The sequence below is a fragment of the Homo sapiens genome, chromosome 7 (assembly GCF_000001405.40).
Source record: "Homo sapiens chromosome 7, GRCh38.p14 Primary Assembly".
Lineage (NCBI taxonomy): Eukaryota > Metazoa > Chordata > Mammalia > Primates > Hominidae > Homo > Homo sapiens.
The window spans coordinates 49,850,607-49,871,487 of record NC_000007.14 but is presented as its reverse complement, the minus strand read 5'-3'; the positions used below and the strand labels follow the sequence as shown (position 1 = coordinate 49,871,487).

The 20,881-nt window shown below is 41.1% G+C and overlaps 2 protein-coding genes across 7 annotated transcripts in view, besides 1 other annotated feature; one reads left to right on the top strand and one right to left on the bottom strand.

Annotated features, from left to right (window-relative positions):
- Nucleotides 1-20,881, bottom strand: part of VWC2 (von Willebrand factor C domain containing 2) — a 148,568-nt gene that overhangs the window by 50,718 nt on the left and 76,969 nt on the right. The window lies entirely within an intron of this gene.
- ZPBP (zona pellucida binding protein) overlaps nucleotides 1-20,881 on the top strand; it is a 252,593-nt gene that overhangs the window by 221,759 nt on the left and 9,953 nt on the right. The gene's annotated exons all lie outside the window — the stretch shown is intronic.
- Nucleotides 20,261-20,555: a silencer, noted in NCBI's record as "tiled region #9573; K562 Repressive non-DNase unmatched - State 13:Ctcf". NCBI's record gives its function as "represses a minimal TATA promoter and a strong SV40 promoter by Sharpr-MPRA in K562 cells {active_cell/tissue: K562}" and the evidence as "EXISTENCE:reporter gene assay evidence [ECO:0000049][PMID:27701403]".

The following is a 20,881-nucleotide window of genomic DNA, read 5'->3' as shown; positions in this document are numbered from 1 at the left end:
GTCACTGATTTAGTCACTGTGTATTAGCTCATGAATGTATACAGTATATTTTATTCTGCCATTTCATTACTGATGAGTTTTCACCATAATTTCATATTTTCTTATTAAAAGCAATGTTATAATAAAGAAAACCATGGGATATACCTTAATGCGCAGGGGTTTTAATTGCACAGTGCTTCAGGGAATCCGACTTGGATCAAAAGGTCCATGAAATTTCAGTTTTAGGCAAAAATGCCCAATTTTTTACATGGAAGGCTGTAAGAAGCCTCATTAAGATACCAACAATAGATATTATTATTCGTTTTTATTTTTACCACTTGAATTTTGCTATAAATTGATATCTTATTCCTTTATCACCTTTTGTATTTATGAAATACTACTTTGAAGTCCTTCTTGGATGGCTCCATTAGCTCTCCATTCTTAGGGTTGAATTCTCCAATTTATTGGTTCTGTGGAATACTTTTCATGGTTTTGCATTTTTTAGCATGTTTTACCATTTTGATTATCAACTCATTGTGCAAAGGGGTCTTCTTCTAAGAGAGTTTATCATATTTCCTGGAGCAGTTCCGTAGTCATTTTGCCTAGGTTCTATGGAGTTCACCTGTTATTAATATGTTTTGTTGATGGTTTCTTGAACTGGGATTCTCCCACAAGCATCAGTATAAATGAGGTACACAGTCTATATTCCTTTTTTGTGGATGACTCTTTTCCAATCATGCATTATCATGCAGGTTGCATTTTCAGCAGTGTGGATTAGTGAGGAGAAACTTTGTTGTCTACTCATGATAACGTCATGGTTTCCCAACTCTTCTTTCAGAAGGGGAGCCCTTTTCGGCCTTCCTGATGCACATGTGAGCTATAGCCTCAGCTTCCCTGTGCAGGTGTGAAAATCCTACTCGTAAGACATGCCCTGTATTCAGCTGTGTAAGTGCCAGTCACCACTCCCACTTACTCACCTCTTAAAATGTTTAGTTTTATATTCAGAAAAAGATAGAAATCTTACAGGTTGGTAAAATTTACTTATCTATACACTAATGCATCTACCACCCCAATCATAATATAGACAATTTTTATTTTTTTATTTTTTTGAGACGGAGTCTCACTGCGTCACCCAGGGTGGAGTGCAGTGGCGCAATCTTCGCTCACTGCAAGCTCCACCTCCTGGGTTCACGCCATTCTCCTGCCTCAGCCTCCCGAGTAGCTGGGACTACAGGCGCCCGCCACCATGCCCAGCTAATTTTTTGTATTTTTAGTAGAGACGGAGTTTCACTGTCTTAGCCAGGATGGTCTTGATCTCCTGACCTCGTGATCCGCCCACCTCGGTCTCCCAAAGTGCTGGGATTACAGGTATGAGCCACCGCACCCAGCGAAAATGTTTTCACTCCAGGTTTCCTTGTGTCCCTTCCCAATCAGTACTACACTTCTGTCTTCTACCACCATAGATCGGTTTTCCTGTTCTTGAATTTCAACTAAACAGAATCATATAGTATGCACTATTTTGTTCCAAGTTTCTTTTATTCAGCATAATATTTTGAGACAACCACATCTTCTATATATCAAGTAGTCATTCCTTTTGACATCTGCTGTATGAATAGGCCACAGTTTGTTAATCCATTCTTTTCTGAATGGGTACCTAGTAAGCTTCCCGTTTTGGATTACTATGAAAAAACATATATGTACATTTTATAAATGTAGTTTGTGGCCGTGCACATCCAATTCTCTTGGATGTTTGCTGGTCATAGTGTAGACATAGATTTAAGTTTGTCACATCAACTTACAAGCAGTCCAGTGGCTTTACATCCTTGCCATTCCTTGCTATTGGCAGGTTTCTTAATTTTAACTATTCTGGTGACAAACAGATCCTTTTTTAGGACTATTTTTTAATTCCTTAGCCAAAAGGTTAAAATAAGGATTTCAATCTTTGCAAAAGGATCAGTATAAAAATATAAAACATATAAAGCTTAGAAATATCATGATACAGCAACCATAGCACCTACTTTTGTAATATACAAGATAATTTTTTCCCTATATCCGATTTGCTACCCTAGTGTAGGCTTTGATTTGTTAAAATCGTTGCTTTGTTTGAAATAGTCCTTCCTCCCCTTCTCCTCCTGGCCAGATGAACCCACCCTTTCAGACCTTGTTCAGTATTACTTCCTCTAATATTCTCCCCCAGATTCCTGGGTGGAGGAATTATTTCCTCCATTCATTCACTGTGTATTTTGCAAAGGCTTAATTTATAACAATTATCTCATGGAATTATAGTCAATGTCTGCCTCTTCTCCCAAGCTGTAGGATACCATGTTTTATTCATATTTGTGCCCTCAACCTTACTGTAGTGTTTAAGCACATAACTAGTGTTCCATGAATATTTATGGAAAAAAAAAAGGAAGTGTAAATGTTTCCTCACTTGTACGGGTTTCAAAAATTCCCTACAACTCAGAAAGATAAACAACTAATATTTTCTTAATTCATAGCTTATCCCTTCAGAAACCGTACTCTGGAAAATTGTACATATATTTGACACAAGAAAACTTCTTTCCATATAACTATTTTTAAAGATCTCCCAGGCCAGGTGCAGTGGCTCATGCCCGTAATCCCAGCACTTTGGGAGGCCGAGGCAGGTGGATCACTTGAGGTTAGGAGTTCAAGACCAGCCTGGCCAACATGGTGAAACCTTGTCTCTACAAAAATACAAAAAAATTAGCCAGGCATGGTGGCACACGCCTGTAATCCCATCTACTTGGGAGGCTGAGGCAGGAGAATCACTTGAACCCAGGAGGCAGAGGTTGCAGTGAGCCAAGATCGTGCCATTGCACTTCAGCCTAGGTGACAGAGCAAGACTTCATCTAAAAACAAAACAAAAAACTCCCTACATGAGATCATTACATTTAAATGTTGCAAATTAATGCTTAGAAAAGTTAAACATACATGTAGAACCATATGATGAAAATCCACATATGGGAACATTTTGAGGTACTTTTTCTAATTCTATGTGATTTAGGTATTTTTATAAAATACAGTACATATACTCCCCAGGTAGACATGGTGGCTCTGAATTAGATGTGCTTCATCTCACAAATACTAAACAAATGTATCATCACTGATTTATGATCAAGGAAATGAACCATCAATACTTTGAAATATCTACAAAATTGACTTGGCTAAAGAGGTTTAAAACAAGTCTCGGCTTTAAAAGAAACAGCGTATATTTCCTATTAATGAAACCTAAATTATTCCAAGTTCTTAGGAAACAGCATCTATTAATGTTACACAAAAACACCAAAATACAGTCACTGTAGGGTGAATGAATCATTCACTTGGGTTTTCCTCACTTATAATGTAATTTTCCTTGGACAGGCACAGTGGCTTATGCCTGTAATCCCAGCACTTTGGGAGGCCGAGGTGGGTGGATCATTTGAGGTCGGGAGTTTGAGACCAGCCTGGTCAATATGGTGAAACCCCATCTCTACTAAAAATACAAAAATTAGTCAGGTATAGTGGTATGCACCTGTAATCCCAGCTACTTGGTAGGCTGAGACAGGAGAATTGCTTGAACTTGGGAGGCGGAGATTGCAGTGAGCCGAGATTGCACCATTGCACTCCAGCATGGGCAACAGGGCAAGACTCCACCTCAAAAAATAAAATAAAATAATAAAATAAAAAATAGAAAATAATGTAACTTTCCTTAAATAAAAGGCTGCTGTAGGCAGCCCTGAGAGATACCAGCAGGTCTTCTGCTGTTTGTACTTTTGTAGCCATGTAATGGGATCGTGGCTGACTGACAGGTGAGCCTTGGGTCCAGAATTCTCCTCTCTCTTCAGCCAGGGCCTCGCAGGTGCTAGAGTTCAGGAGGGTGAATGCCTCAGATGTCTCCTGTGCCTCCAGCACCACACAGCACCTGTGTCCTCTGTGTAGCCTTTAGTTACCTGTTCAGTCTTTTATTTTTAACAGAACAAGAAGACTATGTCAGCACATGAGACATACTGTGTTTGGTATGGTGCACCCTTTCTTAACATTTTCCTTCGCTTGGGAGGCCCACCTCCGCCTCTCAGTTGACCTGTACTCCTTCCCTTACTTCGTCCTCCAGATCTGTCCTCTCTGTGCTAGGGAGCAGCTGCTGACACTGAATATGTAAATGTAAGGACGGCCTTTCTGAGTTTCTCATGCTTCTTCTTTTCTGGCAATCTTCAGGAATGAAAAAATCTTTAAGTATATTTTTAGTGATAGTTTGGTCAATATCATATTCCTATGGCATTGTTAAGGGATATGGACAAAGTTTCGATCTCTTTAGATGAAGTTGACTGAAAGGGAAAGGCCTTCCTTGCAGGCTAGTCTGTGTGTGTTGTTCTCTCGAGAGGCTCCCCACATAGCTGCAGGACCCCCAGGGAGACATTTGGCTATTTACATTTCTTGAGCCATCTGTCTCTCTAACGAGATGGTTACAAAGATAATGAGATCAGTCCTGAATTATCCCGGCTGTAGTTTAAAGTTTCACTTATGATTTTGCTTCTATCGAGAAGAGGACACAGGTGGGCTTCTGGGTCTGTGTGTCCTCAGAAGAAGGTGGCTTTGCTGTGCTGCTGCTCCAATGGAGCCATTTCAGGCATGTTCCCGCCTCAGGCATGCCTCGGGTTGTCTGAGTTGAAAGGAAGCAAATGTAGATCCAATTCAGCAAATACAGGAACCTAAATGCCATAAAGGGAAGCTGCGCTTTGTGTAGAATTCCAGCCTACCCAGCTGTGGACCATCATCCTCTGAAGCAGATGCTTGTATGTTACTGCCTCTTTCTAGTAATGCACCACAATCCTGCAAATGAGGCACCTGTGATAGATGTCAAAACTGACCATCTTTTGTGACAGGATGTTGCATTTCATCCCATCAAGAAGGAGGCTGTTTTCCGTCTTTTCTGAGTCACATGGGCAAGCCCGAACTCGAAAGATTCAGGGCTTGCCCGTGTGACCTGCTTTGACTAACGAACCCTTAGCAAATGTAATGCAAGCAGAGGCTTGCAAAGGGCTTGCCTGCAGGGTTTGGCTCACTACTGCACTCGCAAGCCTGAGACCACCACAGGAGAGCCCTAAGTGAGCCTGCAGCATTAGTTTCAGGACAGAGTGTAAGGCAGGGGTTAGAAAAGCAATGAGGGAAGAACGCCAGTCAGGACAGGAAAAGTGGCAACCAGTGTTAGGCCATAGCAAGACACCTGGCACAGCTGACAGCTAGAGGATCTTGAAAAAAGCATACCCAGTGAACACATCTGGCGAAGGGTCTATTGGTTCTCCCAGCTGGGTCTGATAAGATAAGCAAGTGAGAAACAATCCAAAGAAGGAATTGTTTGGCTTAGAAGCAGAATTTAGAGGCGATATGAAGGAGCCAGGACTTGCTGGATGGAAGAATGAAACCGTTTCACATTTCTAATCTCTCCACTGGCAAAAGATTCTCAAAGGAAGGAAGAAAATTTAAAAAAAGAAAAAATGATAAAAGCAAGGTATGGCTGTAAAAGTCTTTTATTAAAACCTAAGCAATTTAAGATGGTGCCGAGTAGACTTTCTCAACTGGACAAATGGGCTTGTAAGAATCTTAAGGACATTGTTCCACTGAACCATGAAATGTTGCCCAAAGTAGAGAGACATCCGGACTTTGAGACTGAGGTTGCATGGAATGAGCATTCTGGGTGCTGGGATAAGGTTGATATATCTTGCAAGTTGGAGGTGGGTGGATCAGGAGGCTGGCTTGTTACCATAATAGACCTCTGTGTTTGGGTCTGCCCTTCTGAAGGCACACCCTTAGGTGTGACTTTCACTTGACATGTGACTTGCTTTGGACAATGGGACTACAGCAAGTGATATACAAACAGAGTCTCAAAAATACTTGCATATTGGAGTTTGCCCTCTCTTGATGCTTTTTGGAGTCCTAAGCCCACTATGTGGAGGATTATGAGTTAGCTTATGGGAAGGTGAGGAACCACATTGCCAGAGACCACACCAGCCCAGACATATCAGCCACTTACAAAAGCAAGAACTAAATAAAACAATTGTTACTTGAAGCCACTACGTTTTGCGGTTGGTTATACAGCCAAAGCTAATTGATTCAGTGCTCATGTTACTCCCATTTTTCAGCTGGGAAAACTGAGGGTTACACACTTCAGTAAATTATCAAAGATATCAAAATGGATAGGAGAGAATCTATTACTTGATCCAAGGTACTCAGATTTCAGAGATCAACTCTTTCATCACTGTTCCTCAAGAAGCTTTTGCCTTTCTCTCCTACCCCACGGACCACACAAACAACTGAACTGCACATTCTCTTCCTCCTCTTCCTGAACTGGCATATTCTTATAAAAGCAATATACAAAATCAATTACATCTTTACATGGCAAATTTCAGCAAGAAAACATGACAGAAAAGTATTCCATTTACAATTCTTTACAAAAAATAAGATCTTTAAGAATAAATATAGAGGGATATCAGAAAAAATTGAGAGTAGGCAGCTCTACCCCTCCCATTCTTCCCACAGGAGCACTGAAAAACAAACAGGAACTGTCAGAACCAGCTTCATTAGAAACGTGGAAAACAGTCAAAGGTTTACAGCAACAAAGCAAGCACTGAATCACGAACAAGGCAACTTAAAAATGGCAGGAAAGCTTTGAGGCAGTCTTGATTGTCCTTGCTTCACCCTCCCCTGCTCAGCAGCAGTCTCCATTCCCATGCTGGGAACTTGGTCCCGGGTTCAGAAGGGAGCAGACAGCATTCATAAATTATTGTGCATGTCTGTTTGAAACTGTCTGGAGCTACTTGAAAGACCAACAGAAGATGCAGGCCTCTGTTTTGCCTAACTCAGAAGCCATTCGGGATGGAAGAGCAGTAGATGATGCTCGAAAACACCGTAAGGCTGACAACAACCTGCAGCCAACTACCCAGGCCAAAAGACAACTGTTGAGACATGCAGAGGCCTACTAGAGTGAGGGAGAAAGAGCCCAGAAAGAGCTTCCTTGGGATATTCGGGCATTCTAAAGCACCCATGTATTTGGAGGAATCTAGAACACCATGCACTTGCCCAAGGTAAGATGCATGATCAGAAAAAAACTGAGAAGACCTTAAGCTTTCATCCCAGGTGGATTCTGAGGCTCCTGGGAAATCCAGTTAAGGGGTGAAGGAAGGTCCAAGCACAGAACAATTCTGCAGAGACTACAAGAGGTTCTCCTATCTTCTCCTCCCTCCTTCTTTGTCTTCTTTCTCTGTCTTCCTCTCTTTCCCTTGATATTCAAGGAAACCTTTGGAAAAAGCTAACTGAACAATATCTAAGGAACAGACTTCAGTGACACCAATGGCAAGGAGTACAGTCTGAAAAATAGTTAAGAAAAGTCACAAAACAGACAAACAATCACAGCCCGCAACAACAACAACAACAACAAAAACAGGAGACCTCTGGAAGAAGGGCAGTCTGATTTCCAATTTTACCACACTATAATAAACAATATATGATTTTTGCAAAACTAAAGGGAAAATATTTTAAAACAAAATAAAGAAAAAATATTTTAAAACAACATACGAAAACTTACAGAAAAAACTATGCTAAAAGGGAAATTTATGGCTATAAATGCTTATATTATAAAACAGAAAAGGATCTCAAATCGATAATCTAACTTTACACCTAAAAGAATGAGTAAAAAGAGAGCACACTAAACCCAAGGTTAGCAGGAGGAAGGAAATAATACAGATTAGCACAGGATAAACAAAATAGAGAATAGAAAAGCAGACCAGGTGCAGTGGCTCACGTCTCTAATCCCAGCACTTTCGGAGGCTGAGGTGGGCGGATGGCTTGACTCAGGAGTTAAAGACTAGACTAGGCAACATGGCAAGACCCCTTCTCTACACAAAATACAAAATTTATCTGGGCATGGTGGTGCACACCTGTAGTCCCAGCTACTTGGGAGGCTGAGGCAGGAGGATCGCTTGAGCCCAGGAGGTGGAGGTTGCAGTGAGCTGAGATCATGCCATGCACTCCAGCCTGTGTGACAGAGTGAGATCTTGTCTCAAAAAAGAAAAGAAAAGAAAAAAAGGGAGAGAGAATCAACAAAGCCAAATTTGGTGCTTTGTAAAGATCAACAAAACTGACAAATCTTTAGCTGGAGTGGCGAAGATAAAAAGAGAGAAGATACAAATTACTAAAATCAGGAATGAAAGTGGGAGCTCACAGAAATAGAAAGGATTGTAAAGGATTGCTATGAACAAATGTACTCCAACAAATTAGATAAACTACGTGAAATGGACAAATTCCTAGAAACACACAAACTACCTAAGCTGACTCACAAAGAAGAAAAATAACAAAACACCTATAACAAGTGAAGATATTGAATCAGTAATCCAAAACCTCCCAACAAATAAAAGTTCAGGACCAGATGGTTTCACTGGTGAATTATTTCAGACATATAACAAACAATTAGCACAAATCCTTCTCAAACTCTTCCATATAATAGAAGAGGGAGGAATACATCCTACCTCACTGTAAGAGGCCAGCATTACCTTGATACCAAAGCCAGATTGAGACATCACAAGAAAAGTATAGGTAAATATCTCTAATGAGACAGATAAAAAACATCCTCAGTGAAACAGTAGCAAAGTGAATACAACAGCATATTAAAAGGATTATACATCATGACCAAATGGGATTTATTCCTTGAATGTAAGGGTGATTCAACCTACAAAAATTAATGGACATAATACAACACATTAACAGAATGAAGAATGAAAAAAAAAAACTCATGGTCATCTCAATTGATGCAGATAAAGCATTTAACAAAATCCAATGATCTATTATAATGAAAAAAAAAACACATCAAAGTAGGAAGAGAAGGGAACTTCCTCATCATAAAGTCTTTTATGAAAAACCTACAGCTAACATTTTACTCAATGGTGAAATAATGAAAGCTTTCCCCCTAAAATAGGAACAAGACAAGGATTTCCAATTTCACCACTGCTATTCAACATTTATTGGAAGTTCTAGCCAGAACAACTAGGCAAAGAAAATAAAAGCATCCAAATTGGAAAGGAAGAAATAAAACTATCTCTATTCACGGTTAGTATGATCCTGTCTATAGAAAACCTCAAATAATTCATGAGAAGATACTAGGGCTAATAATTGAACTCAGAAAACTTGCTGGTTACAAGATTGACACACAAAAAAAGGCTGTTTTTCTATATAGTGGCAATGAATAATTTGAAAAGAAATTTAAGAGAGCAATTCTATTTCAATAGCATCTAAAATAATAAAATATCTAGGAATAAATTTGAGGTAAAAGACTTGTGCATTAAAAACTATAAAACATTGCTTAAAGAAATTAAAGAAAACACAAATAAATGAAAAGATATCTGATGTTCATGGCTTGGAAGACTTAATATTGTCAGGATGGCAGTACTTCCCAAAGAAATCTACAGAGTCAATACAATCCCTTTCAAAATTCCAACAACCATTTTTTATGGAAATGGAAAAGCCTATCCTAAAATTCATATGGAATTGCACAGGTCCCTGGATAACCATAATAATCTTTAAAAAAGTCAAAATACACACAATTCCCAATTTACCACCAAGTTACAGTAATCAAAACAGTGTGGTACTGGCATAAGGACAGACATATAAACAATAGAATAAAATTCAGAGTCCAAAAGTAAACCCAGACTTCTGCATCCAACTGATTTTTGACAAGAGTGCCAAGTCTATTCAGTGAAGAAAAGATTAGCCTTTGCAAGAAATGGTGCTGGGACAACTAGAAAGCCATGTGCAAAAGAATGAAGTTGGTCCCCTACCTCATACCATATACAAAAATTAACTCAAAATTGGCCTGTGGCCTAAAGGCAATATCTAAAAATCATAAAACTCTTAAAAGAAAATAAAGGTTTAAATCTTTCTTACCCAGAATTTGGCAGCAGATTCTTAGAAATGACACCAAAACATGAACAACAGAAGAAAAAAATAGATGAACTGGATTTCATTAAAATTAAAAACTCACCTGCATAATGGGATATTTTATCAAGACAGTGAAAAGACAGCAAACAGAATGGGAGAAAATATTTGCAAATCATATATTTGATAAGGGCTTAATATTCAAAATATAAAAAAGTCTTAAACCTCAACAACAAAAAGGCAAGCAACTCAATAAAATGAGTTGAACAGTCATTTCTCCAAAAATAATGGCCAATAAGCACATGAAAAAATGCCCAATGTCATTAATCATTAGGAAAATGCAAATACAAACCACAATAGGATTCCATTTTACATGTACTAAGATGGTTATAGCAATAACGAAGAATAAAAGAAAAATAACAACTGTTGGTGAGGATGTGGAGAAATTGTAATGCTTGTAAATTGAAACCCTTGTCCATTGCTGGTGGGAATGTAAAACTGTGCAGACACCATGATAAAGGGCGGTGAGTCTTAAAAACATTAAAACAGAGTTACTTTCTTAGTTCCCTAGAGCTACCATTTAAAATACCACAGACTGGTTTGCTTAAATAATAGAAATGTATTTTCTCATGGTTCTAAAGGCAGAAAGTCCAAGGTCAAGGTATTGGGAGGTTTGGTTTCTGCTGAGGCCTCTCCCCTTGGCTCGCAGATGGCCACCTTCCTTCTGTGGCCTCACATGGCCTTTTCTCTGTGCACACATCCTTGGTGTCTCTTCTTCTTATAGGGAGACCAACCCTATTAGATTAAGGCCTCACCCTTATGATCTCATTTAACTTAATTACATCTTTAATGACTCTATCTACAAATATAGAAACATTGAAAGTTAGGGCTCCAACATATAAATTTTGGGGGAAATAATTCAGTCCTTAACAGTTACCATATGCCCTAGCAATTCCACTCCTAGGTATTACAATAGCCAAAGGAATTGAAAGCAAGGGCTGAAACAGATACTTGTATGCCAATGTTCACTGCAGCATTATTCACAGTGGCCACACAGATAGGAGCAACCCAAGTGTCTATCAAGAGATGAATGGAGCAACAAATCACGGCATATACATACAATAGAGTATTACTCAGCCACAGAAAGGAATGAAGCACTAATCCATGCTACAAGTTGGATGAACCTTGAAAACATTATGGTAAGTGAAATAAGCCAGACACAAAAGGACAAATATTGAATGAGTCTACTCATGTGAAATAGCTAGAACAGGTAAATTTTTAGAGACATAAATTAGATTCAAATTTACCATGAGCCTGACGTAGACAGGAATGAGGAGATACCACTTAACAGGCGGAGGGTTTCAGTTTGGAATGATGAAAAATTTTGGAAATAGTGGTGATGATTGCACAACCTTGTGAATGTACAATGCCACTGGATTGAACACTTAAAAAGATTAAAATGGCAATTTTTTGTCATTTTTTTGCCACAATTAAAAAAGCTTAAAAAAATAACAAAAGTGGCATACAACTATGGATAAAATTATGAAACTTTAAAGAAGCCCTTAAAGAGTACCTAATTAAATGGACATATATGTATATAAATATAAGTATATATTTATACATAAGTAAACACATTTATATATAAATAATGTTTATTTATTTATATCTAGATAGAAAAACTCCTTTAGGTAAAGTTCTTAGTTTTCCCTGTGTTGATCTAAACATCAATGCAATTGTGATTAAAACCTCAGCAGAGTGAGTGTGTGTGTGTGTGTGTGTGTGTGTGTGTGTGTGCACGCACGCGCACTGTAAGACACATCAAGTACATCTGTAGGGAGAAATAGATGGAGAAAATAATCAAGATCATTCTGAGGAAAACTGACTTGCCCACCGATTGGCAACACATAGTATAAATCTATAGCACTTTAGAGAGCACAGTATTCGCATGCAATAGGCAAATACACCTGTGTAACAGAATGGAAAGCCCAGACGTCAATGCACACATATGTAAAAGTAGCCACATGACAGAGGATGTACTGAGGGTCCCATTGTTGGGGCTGAGACAAGTGGTTATCCACGTGAAGAACAACAAGAAAAAAAATCAGATTTCCCACCTCACAACACACACAAAAATCAGTATCATCTCCATTAAAGTTTAAATGCAATAAGCAAAATTTAAAGAATTTAAAACTTTAAGGAGGATATATATGAGAACAGCCTTGTTACCTAAGGAGGATAAGATTTTAAAAACCAGACTTAAAATAAAAAAACATAAAAGATAACTTAAAGACTTTAATTCCTTCAAAAGATACCACAAAAGAACTGAAAAGAAGAACCCCCCAAATGGTAACTCAAGATATCTGCAATATATAAAACCCTTAAAGAAGACTTTAAAAACTCCTAAAGGTATTATAATTTTGGTATTGCTGAGTAACGTTGAAGACACACATGCCCCATCAGTGAAATTCTCCTCTAAGGTATGCTTCCTAAATAAGTATGTGCCCATATGGGCCACAATGTAAAACAAAATGTGTCACTAGTAGCACCTGCAGTCGCTAAAAACCATCAGATAGCAACAGTAATGTCTAGCAAGCACAATGGGTGAATATATCCTGACATATTCTGATAAACTCTGTGGGGCCATGAAATAAATATACCTTCAACCTTTGTCAATGTGGATGAATCTCTGGAAGAGAATACTAAGGAAACAAGGTAAGTTTTTAAATAATTTACACAATGGGATTCCATCTGTATGAATTTTATAAACATAAAAAATAAGTAACATTTTTAATACTATCTACATAAGTAACAAAACTGAAGGTAAATGCATAATCTTGCATTGTGTTCTCTTTCTTATGTATAGCTTTCTTTTTTTTATTATTATTATACTTTAAGTTTTAGGGTACATGTGCACAACGCAGGTTTGTTACATATATATACATGTGCCGTGTTGGTGTGCTGCACCCATTAACTCGTCATTTAACATTAGGTATATCTCCTAATGCTATCCCTCCCCCCTCCCCCACCCCACAACAGGCCCCAGTGTGTGATGTTCCCCTTCCTGTGTCCGTGTGTTGTCATTGTTCAATTCCCACCTATGAGTGAGAACATGCGGTGTTTGGTTTTTTGTCCTTGCGATAGTTTGCTGAGAATGATCGTTTTCAGCTTCATCCATGTCCCTACAAAGGACATGAACTCATCCTTTTTTATGGCTGCATAGTATTCCATGGTGTATATGTGCCACATTTTCTTAATCCAGTCTATCATTGTTGGACATTTGGGTTGGTTCCAAGTCTTTGCTATTGTGAATAGTGCCACAATAAACATACGTGTGCATGTGTCATTATAGCAGCATGTTTTATAATCCTTTGGGTATATACCCAGTAAACCAGTTAGAATGGCAATCATTAAAAAGCCAGGAAGCAACAGGTGCTGGAGAGGATGTGGAGAAATAGGAACACTTTTACACTGTTGGTGGGACTGTAAACTAGTTCAACCATTGTGGAAGTCAGTGTGGTGATTCCTCAGGGATCTAGAACTAGAAATACCATGTATAGCTTTCATTGACACGAGGTTACAGGGGAACTCTATAAGCCTAAGAAAAAGAAATCTGATGTTCTGGGAAAGCCTGTGTGGTCTCATCTCTGATGTATCAGCATCAGTAGACCTGTGGAAACACCAAACTTAGCTCAGATGCCCTCACCACCACTTTCAGACCCAGGATTGAAAATCATAGGCAAAGAAGGTAAAGAAATTGAAGCTCTGATTCACTTTTTATGGATTTATACCCAGAAGTGAGACTGTAGAATTGTATGATGGCTCTGTTTTTAACTTGTTGAGAAATCTCCATACTGTTTTTGACAAGGACTACACCATTTTGCATTCCCACCAAGAGTCACAAGGGTTCTAATTTCCCCATATCCTCACCAATACTTGTTCTCTTTTGATTTTTGTTAATAGCCATTTTGACAGTTGTGAGGTAATGTCTCACGGAGGTTTTAATTTGCATTTCCCTGATGATTAGCAATGTTGAGCACTTTTTCTTCTACCTGTCGGCCATCTGTATGTCTTCTTTGAAGATATCTACACTCCCATGTTAATTGCAGCACTATTCACAATACCTAAGATATGGAAACAACTCAAGTGCCCCTGGACAGATGGATGAATGAAGAAAATGTGCTATATGCCTACATTGGAATATTCAGGCTTAAAAAAGAAGGAAATCCTGCCATTTGTGACAACACAGAGGAACCTTGAGGACATTATGCTTAGTGGAAAAAGCCAGTCACAGAAGAAGAAATACTGCATGATTCCATTTATATAAAGTCGCTAGAGGAGCTAAACTCGTAGAACCAGAGCTGAACCAGAATGGTGGTTGCCAGGGGTTGGGGGTAGGGGTAAGTAGAAAGTTGTTGAATGGGTATAAAGTTTCAGTTATGCAAGATAAGTTCTAGAGATCTGCTGCACGATATCATGCCCATAGTTAACAATATGATATTGTGCACCTAAAAATTTGTTAAGAAGGTAGATATCATGTTACGTCTTTTTTTTTTTTTTTTTTTTTTTTTTTTTTTTGAGACAGTATCTGGCTCTGTCACCCAGGTTGGAGTGCAGTGGCCCGATCTCAGCTCACTGAAAGCTCCACCTCCCCAGGTTCACACCATTCTCCTGCCTCAGCCTCCCGAGTAGCTGGGACTACAGGCGCCCGCCACCACGCCCAGCTAATTTTTTGTATTTTTAGTAGAGATGGGGTTTCACCGTGTTAGCCAGGATGGTCTCGATCTCCTGACCTCGTGATCCGCCCACCTCGGCCTCCCAATCATGTTACGTGTTCTTACCATAACAGCACAAAACAAACAGAACAAAACAAAACCAAAAGGACATCAGAGAACTTTTGGAGGTGATGGATATATTAATTACCTGGACTGTGGTGATGGTAACATGAGGGTATACTTATGTCCAAACTCACCAAATTGTAAACACTAATTGTGTGAAGTTTTTTATATACCAATTATACTTCAATAAAGCTGGTGGGGGAAAAGGAAATCCTGCTGTATTCGTCCATTTTGTGTTGTTATAAAGGGTAATTTTTAAAGAAAAGAAGTATATTTGGCTCATGATCTGCAGCCTGTACAAGAAGCATGGGGCCAACATCTTTTTCTGGTGAACCTCAGGAACTCATAATCATGGCAGAAGGAGAAGAGGGAGCCAGTATATCACGTTGAAAGAGGGAGCAAGAGAGAAAAGGGAGGTGCCAGACTCTCTAAACAACCAGATTTCACTTGAGATAATAGATTGAGAACCCACTCATTACCAAGGGGAGAGCACCAAGCCATTCATGCAGAATCCACCCTCATGACTCAAACACCTCCCACTAGGCCCCATCTCCAACATTAGGGATCACATTTCAACATGAGATTCCCAGTTTGGACACACATCCTAACCTTATCACCTGTCTTTACGTGTATGGTCTTATGCATTGCCTCCCAGTAGGGTGGTGTTTCCGGGGACAGAAGGGAACATCAGCCCTGAAAGGCAGCCTTATATACCTGAACTAAGCAGGGTTAAGCATTTCTCAATCAGGTTGCAGAAATAACTGAAGGAAACCCTTTCTCACAGCAGCAAACTGTGGGGCTTAGTGTCTCTCAGTGGATCTGAAAGAAACATCAGTTTTCTTCCTTCTCTTCCCCACTTCACTCTGTCCCTCTCACCAAATCCCTGGGAATCAGCAGGGGAGCCAGGTGCTCTGGGAATTAACGTGCACCGTCAGCCACCGGCCCCTGGCTGGTGAGGGCAGCTGGGAGGGCTGGGCTGGCTTCTGGGGAGGCAGGGACCCTGGAGGCCAAGCACTGAACTGGCCCCTCAGGGGACTCGTTTTTGCCTGATTCACACTATTCACCATCTGCCACCACAAGGCCCCCAGAAATTATTTTGGAGAACTGCCACATTCTCCTGCAGCACAGATCAAGAAACCTGTCCTGACTTAAAGGGACGCTACCTACCTAATGCTTGGCAGGTCTCTTCCTCCTCTCTGTCCCTGGAACCTGTCCTCGCTGAGCCTTCCTTACCTCTCTCCACAACATCTGTCCTCTTTCACCTGGGAAATACCCAAACCTTCCTCCTCCCTGCTGAGAGTCCTGAAAGCCTGCTCTCTGGATGTTAAACTCCCACCCAGAGATGCTGACAAGGTCCCTGTCATGTAAATATACCACCTAATGCCAGGCAACCTGGTACTGAACTGAATCAAAGCTGTCAGTGATCATAAGGAAGATCATGAAACTTCACTAAGAAAGAGACTACACCGTCCATAAACTATGACCCAGTGTTTTCCTCAACCATTTATTGTAAAACATATCCCATTTTCAGAGACATGAGAAAAAGAAAGATTTGCCTTTTGGGAACTAAGAAATATGATAATTGCATTAACTATTAAGACTAATGTGAGCAGGCCTTTCACATACACAATCTCATTTATTTCTATCTTCACAGCTGTACCAAGGAAAATATTTATTTTTCGATTTTCAAATATAGAAGCCGAGAACTCCTCATCCCTCTCAAAGAGGCAGGCTAATGCTTCAGTTTGCATTTTCAGGAAGCTTGGCACTACTCTTATGACAAAAGCCATATTTGTCAGCCCCTCTACCCTGGACCAGGGTGCATGGCATTGGGCAAGTTACTTAACCTTTTTGAGCTTCATAGTTCTAATCTAAAAATATGGTTGATAACAGCCATCCCTTCCAGGTGTTGTGACAAGTGCACCAATTTATCTAGAGCATTTAGTAAAATGTGTGGCTCATGTTGAGGACTTCATGTCTAAAACACCAAAAGCAACAGCAACAAAAGCTAAAATTGACAAATGGGATCTAATTAAACTAAAGAGCTTCTGCACAGCAAAAGAAACTACCATCAGAGTGAACAGGCAACCTACAGAATGGGAGAAAAATTTTGCAATCTACTTATCTGACAAAGGGCTAATATCCAGAATCTGCAAAGAACTCAAACAAATTTACAAGACAAAAACTAACAACCCCATCAAAAAGTGGGCAAAGGATATGAACAGACACTTCTCAAAAGAAGACATTTATGCAGCCAACAGACACATGAAAAAATGCTCATCATCACTGGCCATCAGAGAAATGCAAATCAAAACCACAATGAGATACCATCTCACACCAGTTAGAATAGCGATCATTAAAAAGTCAGGAAACAACAGGTGCTGGAGAGGATGTGGGGAAATAGGAACACGTTTACATTGTTGGTGGGACTGTAAACTAGTTCAACCATTGTGGAAGAGTGTGGCAATTCCTCAAGGATCTCAAACTAGAAATACCATTTGACCCAGCCATCCCATTACTGGGTATATATCCAAAGGATTATAAATCATGCTGCTATAAAGACACGTGCACATGTATGCTTATTGCGGCACTATTCACAATAGCAAAGACTTGGAACCAACCCAAATGTCCATCAATGATAGACTGGATTAAGAAAATGTGGCACATATACACCATGGAATACTATGCAGCCATAAAAAAGGATGAGTTCATGTCCTTTGCAGGGACATGGATGAAGCTGGAAACCATCATTCTCAGCAAACTATCGCAGGGACAGAAAACCAAACACCGCATGTTCTCACTCATAGGTGGGAATTGAACAATGAAAACATTTGGACACAGGAAGGGGAACATCACACACCGGGGCCTGTTGTGGGGTGGGGGGAGGGGGGAGGGATAGCATTAGGAGATATACCTAATGTAAATGACCAGTTAATGGGTGCAGCACACCAACATGGCACACGTATACATATGTAACAAACCTGCACGTTGTGCACATGTACCCTAGAACTTAAAGTATAATAAAAAAATAAAAAATTAAATGTTTTTAATGCTCCTAAAGAAAAAGGATGCAATAATAAATGACAAGAAGAAAAACAAACGTTCATAAACATACTTTATGTTACGTAAAGTATGTTCGTAAACATACTTTATGTAAATTCTTTCATTTAATCTCATTATAGGGTTTATAGTCTACCGTGATAAAGAAAAAAAAAACCAAAAACTTAGGACCTATCTTATTCCACTCTGTCTTTTGAACTGTAAGACACTGGAGGGCAGAGATGGGGTTTGGGTCCCTAATATGCCCCGATGCCCAGCAGAGCTCCTGGCACAGAACAGATAGGCTGGCTGCCAGCATCTCCTGAGGCCAAAGACCAGTCCAGACTTCAGGCATGACTTCCTGGGCCTGGGGAGGGACAGGGGTGTGCCCCCATGGGCAAGTGCTGGGGGCCGGCCACAGGTTCCTAAGGGAGACTACAGTCATACCTGATAGGGTCTGCCATGCAGAACATGCCCACTCCACACGGCAGCAAGAGCCTGACCACGAGAGGCCTCACCTTCAAACTGGGATCCAGAACAAAACCAAGTCCACCCCAGTGACTGCTCCTGTTCAGAGCCCGCAGCCCTGCCCCATAGCCTGGGAGCCTGCCTTCAGCCTGCAGCAAGAGCTGGGCATGCTGCCTTCCTGTGGCCTCCGCTTCTGTCCTTGGTGCAGCTGTTGTTTTTAATGTGTGGGGTGAGGAAGAGGAAAGGGCTCTGGACTGGAGTAGAACTGTGGTGATAAAGGACTGGATTTGTTTGGAGGCCTAACTTCTCCACACTCATTCTTGTAGTTACCCAAGTCCACAGAGTGCCCTGGCTTTACAGAAGCCAGTTTCCATCTGCAACTGTAGTTCAAGGAGCCAGTCACTAGATGGAGACGGAGTCCAAGTCATGGCCAAATGTTCCTCACATCTGGGAGTTTGAGAGCAGAGGGAGGAACCAGGGTTTGGAAGAAGTTGATTAAGACGATCACTTAAATCCCGCAGATTTTGATCTGTAGGAGCAAGGCCCGTCCCCCATCCGTCACACCAAGGTGGTAGGGCTCTTTCTGAAGAGGGGAGGTGAGACATCACCTTGCACCCACCCCTCACTCCTCACAAACATCACTTCTCAAAAAGCCACAGAAACAGGAAAAACCACTAAATAGCATTATCCCCAGGTATGATCTTCGGCCCTTCTGCCCCCCCAATTTTAAGAAGTATAAAGGTTAGTTTAAAGATGGAAAGAAATTATCTCCCTAAAGGGCTAGGCCATGCACAAATCAGATTTCTAGCAAGTGCAAAACAGCACCGGTCACCTTGTTAAGGAGATGAGTGAACAGGCCAGGACAACCACCAGCTCATGCCTGCCAGGCCTCTTCTTTGAACCAGAGCCTGCAATGTCATCTGCATGCATGTCCTTGGTCCTTGAAGAGCACAGCCACAGAGCCACCATGACCCCCTGATGCTCCAGGGTCACTCACCTGGAAAAGGAAGAGCTTTTGAGGCTGGACTTTTGATGCAGGCCATGTTAGTAAGGGTCTGAGATAAGGCAGTGGCCACAGGGCAGAGAGACCAGCTCTGGCCTGATGACCGACTCTCCAGAAAGCAGACACAGGTGGTACTGGTGCCTGCTGGCCTCTGTCGGGCTCCCAGCATCCTGACTGCTCAATACAGTTATTGGTTTAATCCGGATTAAATCCGGACCCTAGGCTGACAGCAGTGATCTACAGGGGATGAGGATGCCATCTTCACTGCCTAGCAGTCCTTAGAACGGGAGTGGGAAAGAGCCCACTGAACTTTAGAGATCCAGTGTTGTGGGTGTGAATGCTCTGTGGGGTCTGGCCATTTTGTAGTGGACTTTTTTTTTTTTTTAGACAGAGTCTTGCTCTGTCTCCCAGGCTGGAGTGCAATGGCGCAAGCTCGGCTCTGCAAACTCTGCCTCCTGGGTTCAAGCGATTCTCCTTACTCAGCCTCCCAAGTAGCTGGGATTATAGGCGTGTGCCAGCACGCCCAGCTAAGTTTTGTATTTTTAGTAGAGACAGGGTTTCACCATGTTGGCCAGGGTGGTCTCGATCTCCTGACCTCATGATCCACCCGCCTCGGCCTCCCGAAGTGCTGGGATTATAGGCATGAGCCACCACGCCTGGCCTGTAGCAGACTTTTTATTTCAGAGTTGGTCCCAGAGCCTGGACTCTGTTCACTCACACACTGTGATGTGGCACTGTCAGATCTGCTGGAGCACTTTCAATATAACATTGCGCTAAGCAAGTGTCCCCTTTCCTGTGGGCAGACATCCTTAAGTGCCCGTCTGCTATGAGCCAGGCTCTGGTGTTTAGCACCAGAGTGAGTTGAATGGTGGCTCCCAGAATGTCTGTCCACTGAGAACCCATGAATGAGGCCTTATTTGGAAAAGGGTTTTTGCAAATGTAATTAAGAAGGGTCTGGAGATGAGATCATCCTGGATTACCCAAGTGGCCCTAAATCCAATGACAAGTGTCATTATAAGAAAAGGAGAAGACACGGGCACAGAGAAGAAGACCACATCAAGACGGAGGCAGAGCCTGCAGTGAAGCCTCTAAAACCCAGGAAGCCCAGGGTGGCGGGCAGCCACTAGGAGCCAGGAGAGAGGCATGTAAGGGAGCAGCCGTCGGAACCTCCAGAAGAAACTGACTCTGTGGGACCTTGATCTACTTTAGACTTCTGGCCTGCAGAATTGCGGACGAGTAAACTGACATTCCTTAAAGCCACTCAGGTTCTCAGGTTGTGGGATTTGCTGTGGCAGCCCCAGGGAGCTAATGGAGCCTGGTGCCACAATCACTTCACACAGCCTTCTCCACAGGGAGTCATCCTGAGGTGCGGTGTCCACTATGGCCAGCACAGTGCCTGACCAAATGTAATGGCAGTACATGCTTGCTGAGTAAATACACGGAGCTCACTGTACCCATGATGTAACTGAGAGTTATGCAGGGTGAAGTAATTTGGGGAAAGTCACACAGGTGAGATATTGGAGACCAATACATGAACACAAGTTGTCTGACACTGGCTTTTTTCCAGAAGATGGCATTACATCTCCTAATCACAAACAGTTGATCCTTTAGGTAATATGAAATTAGACATGGT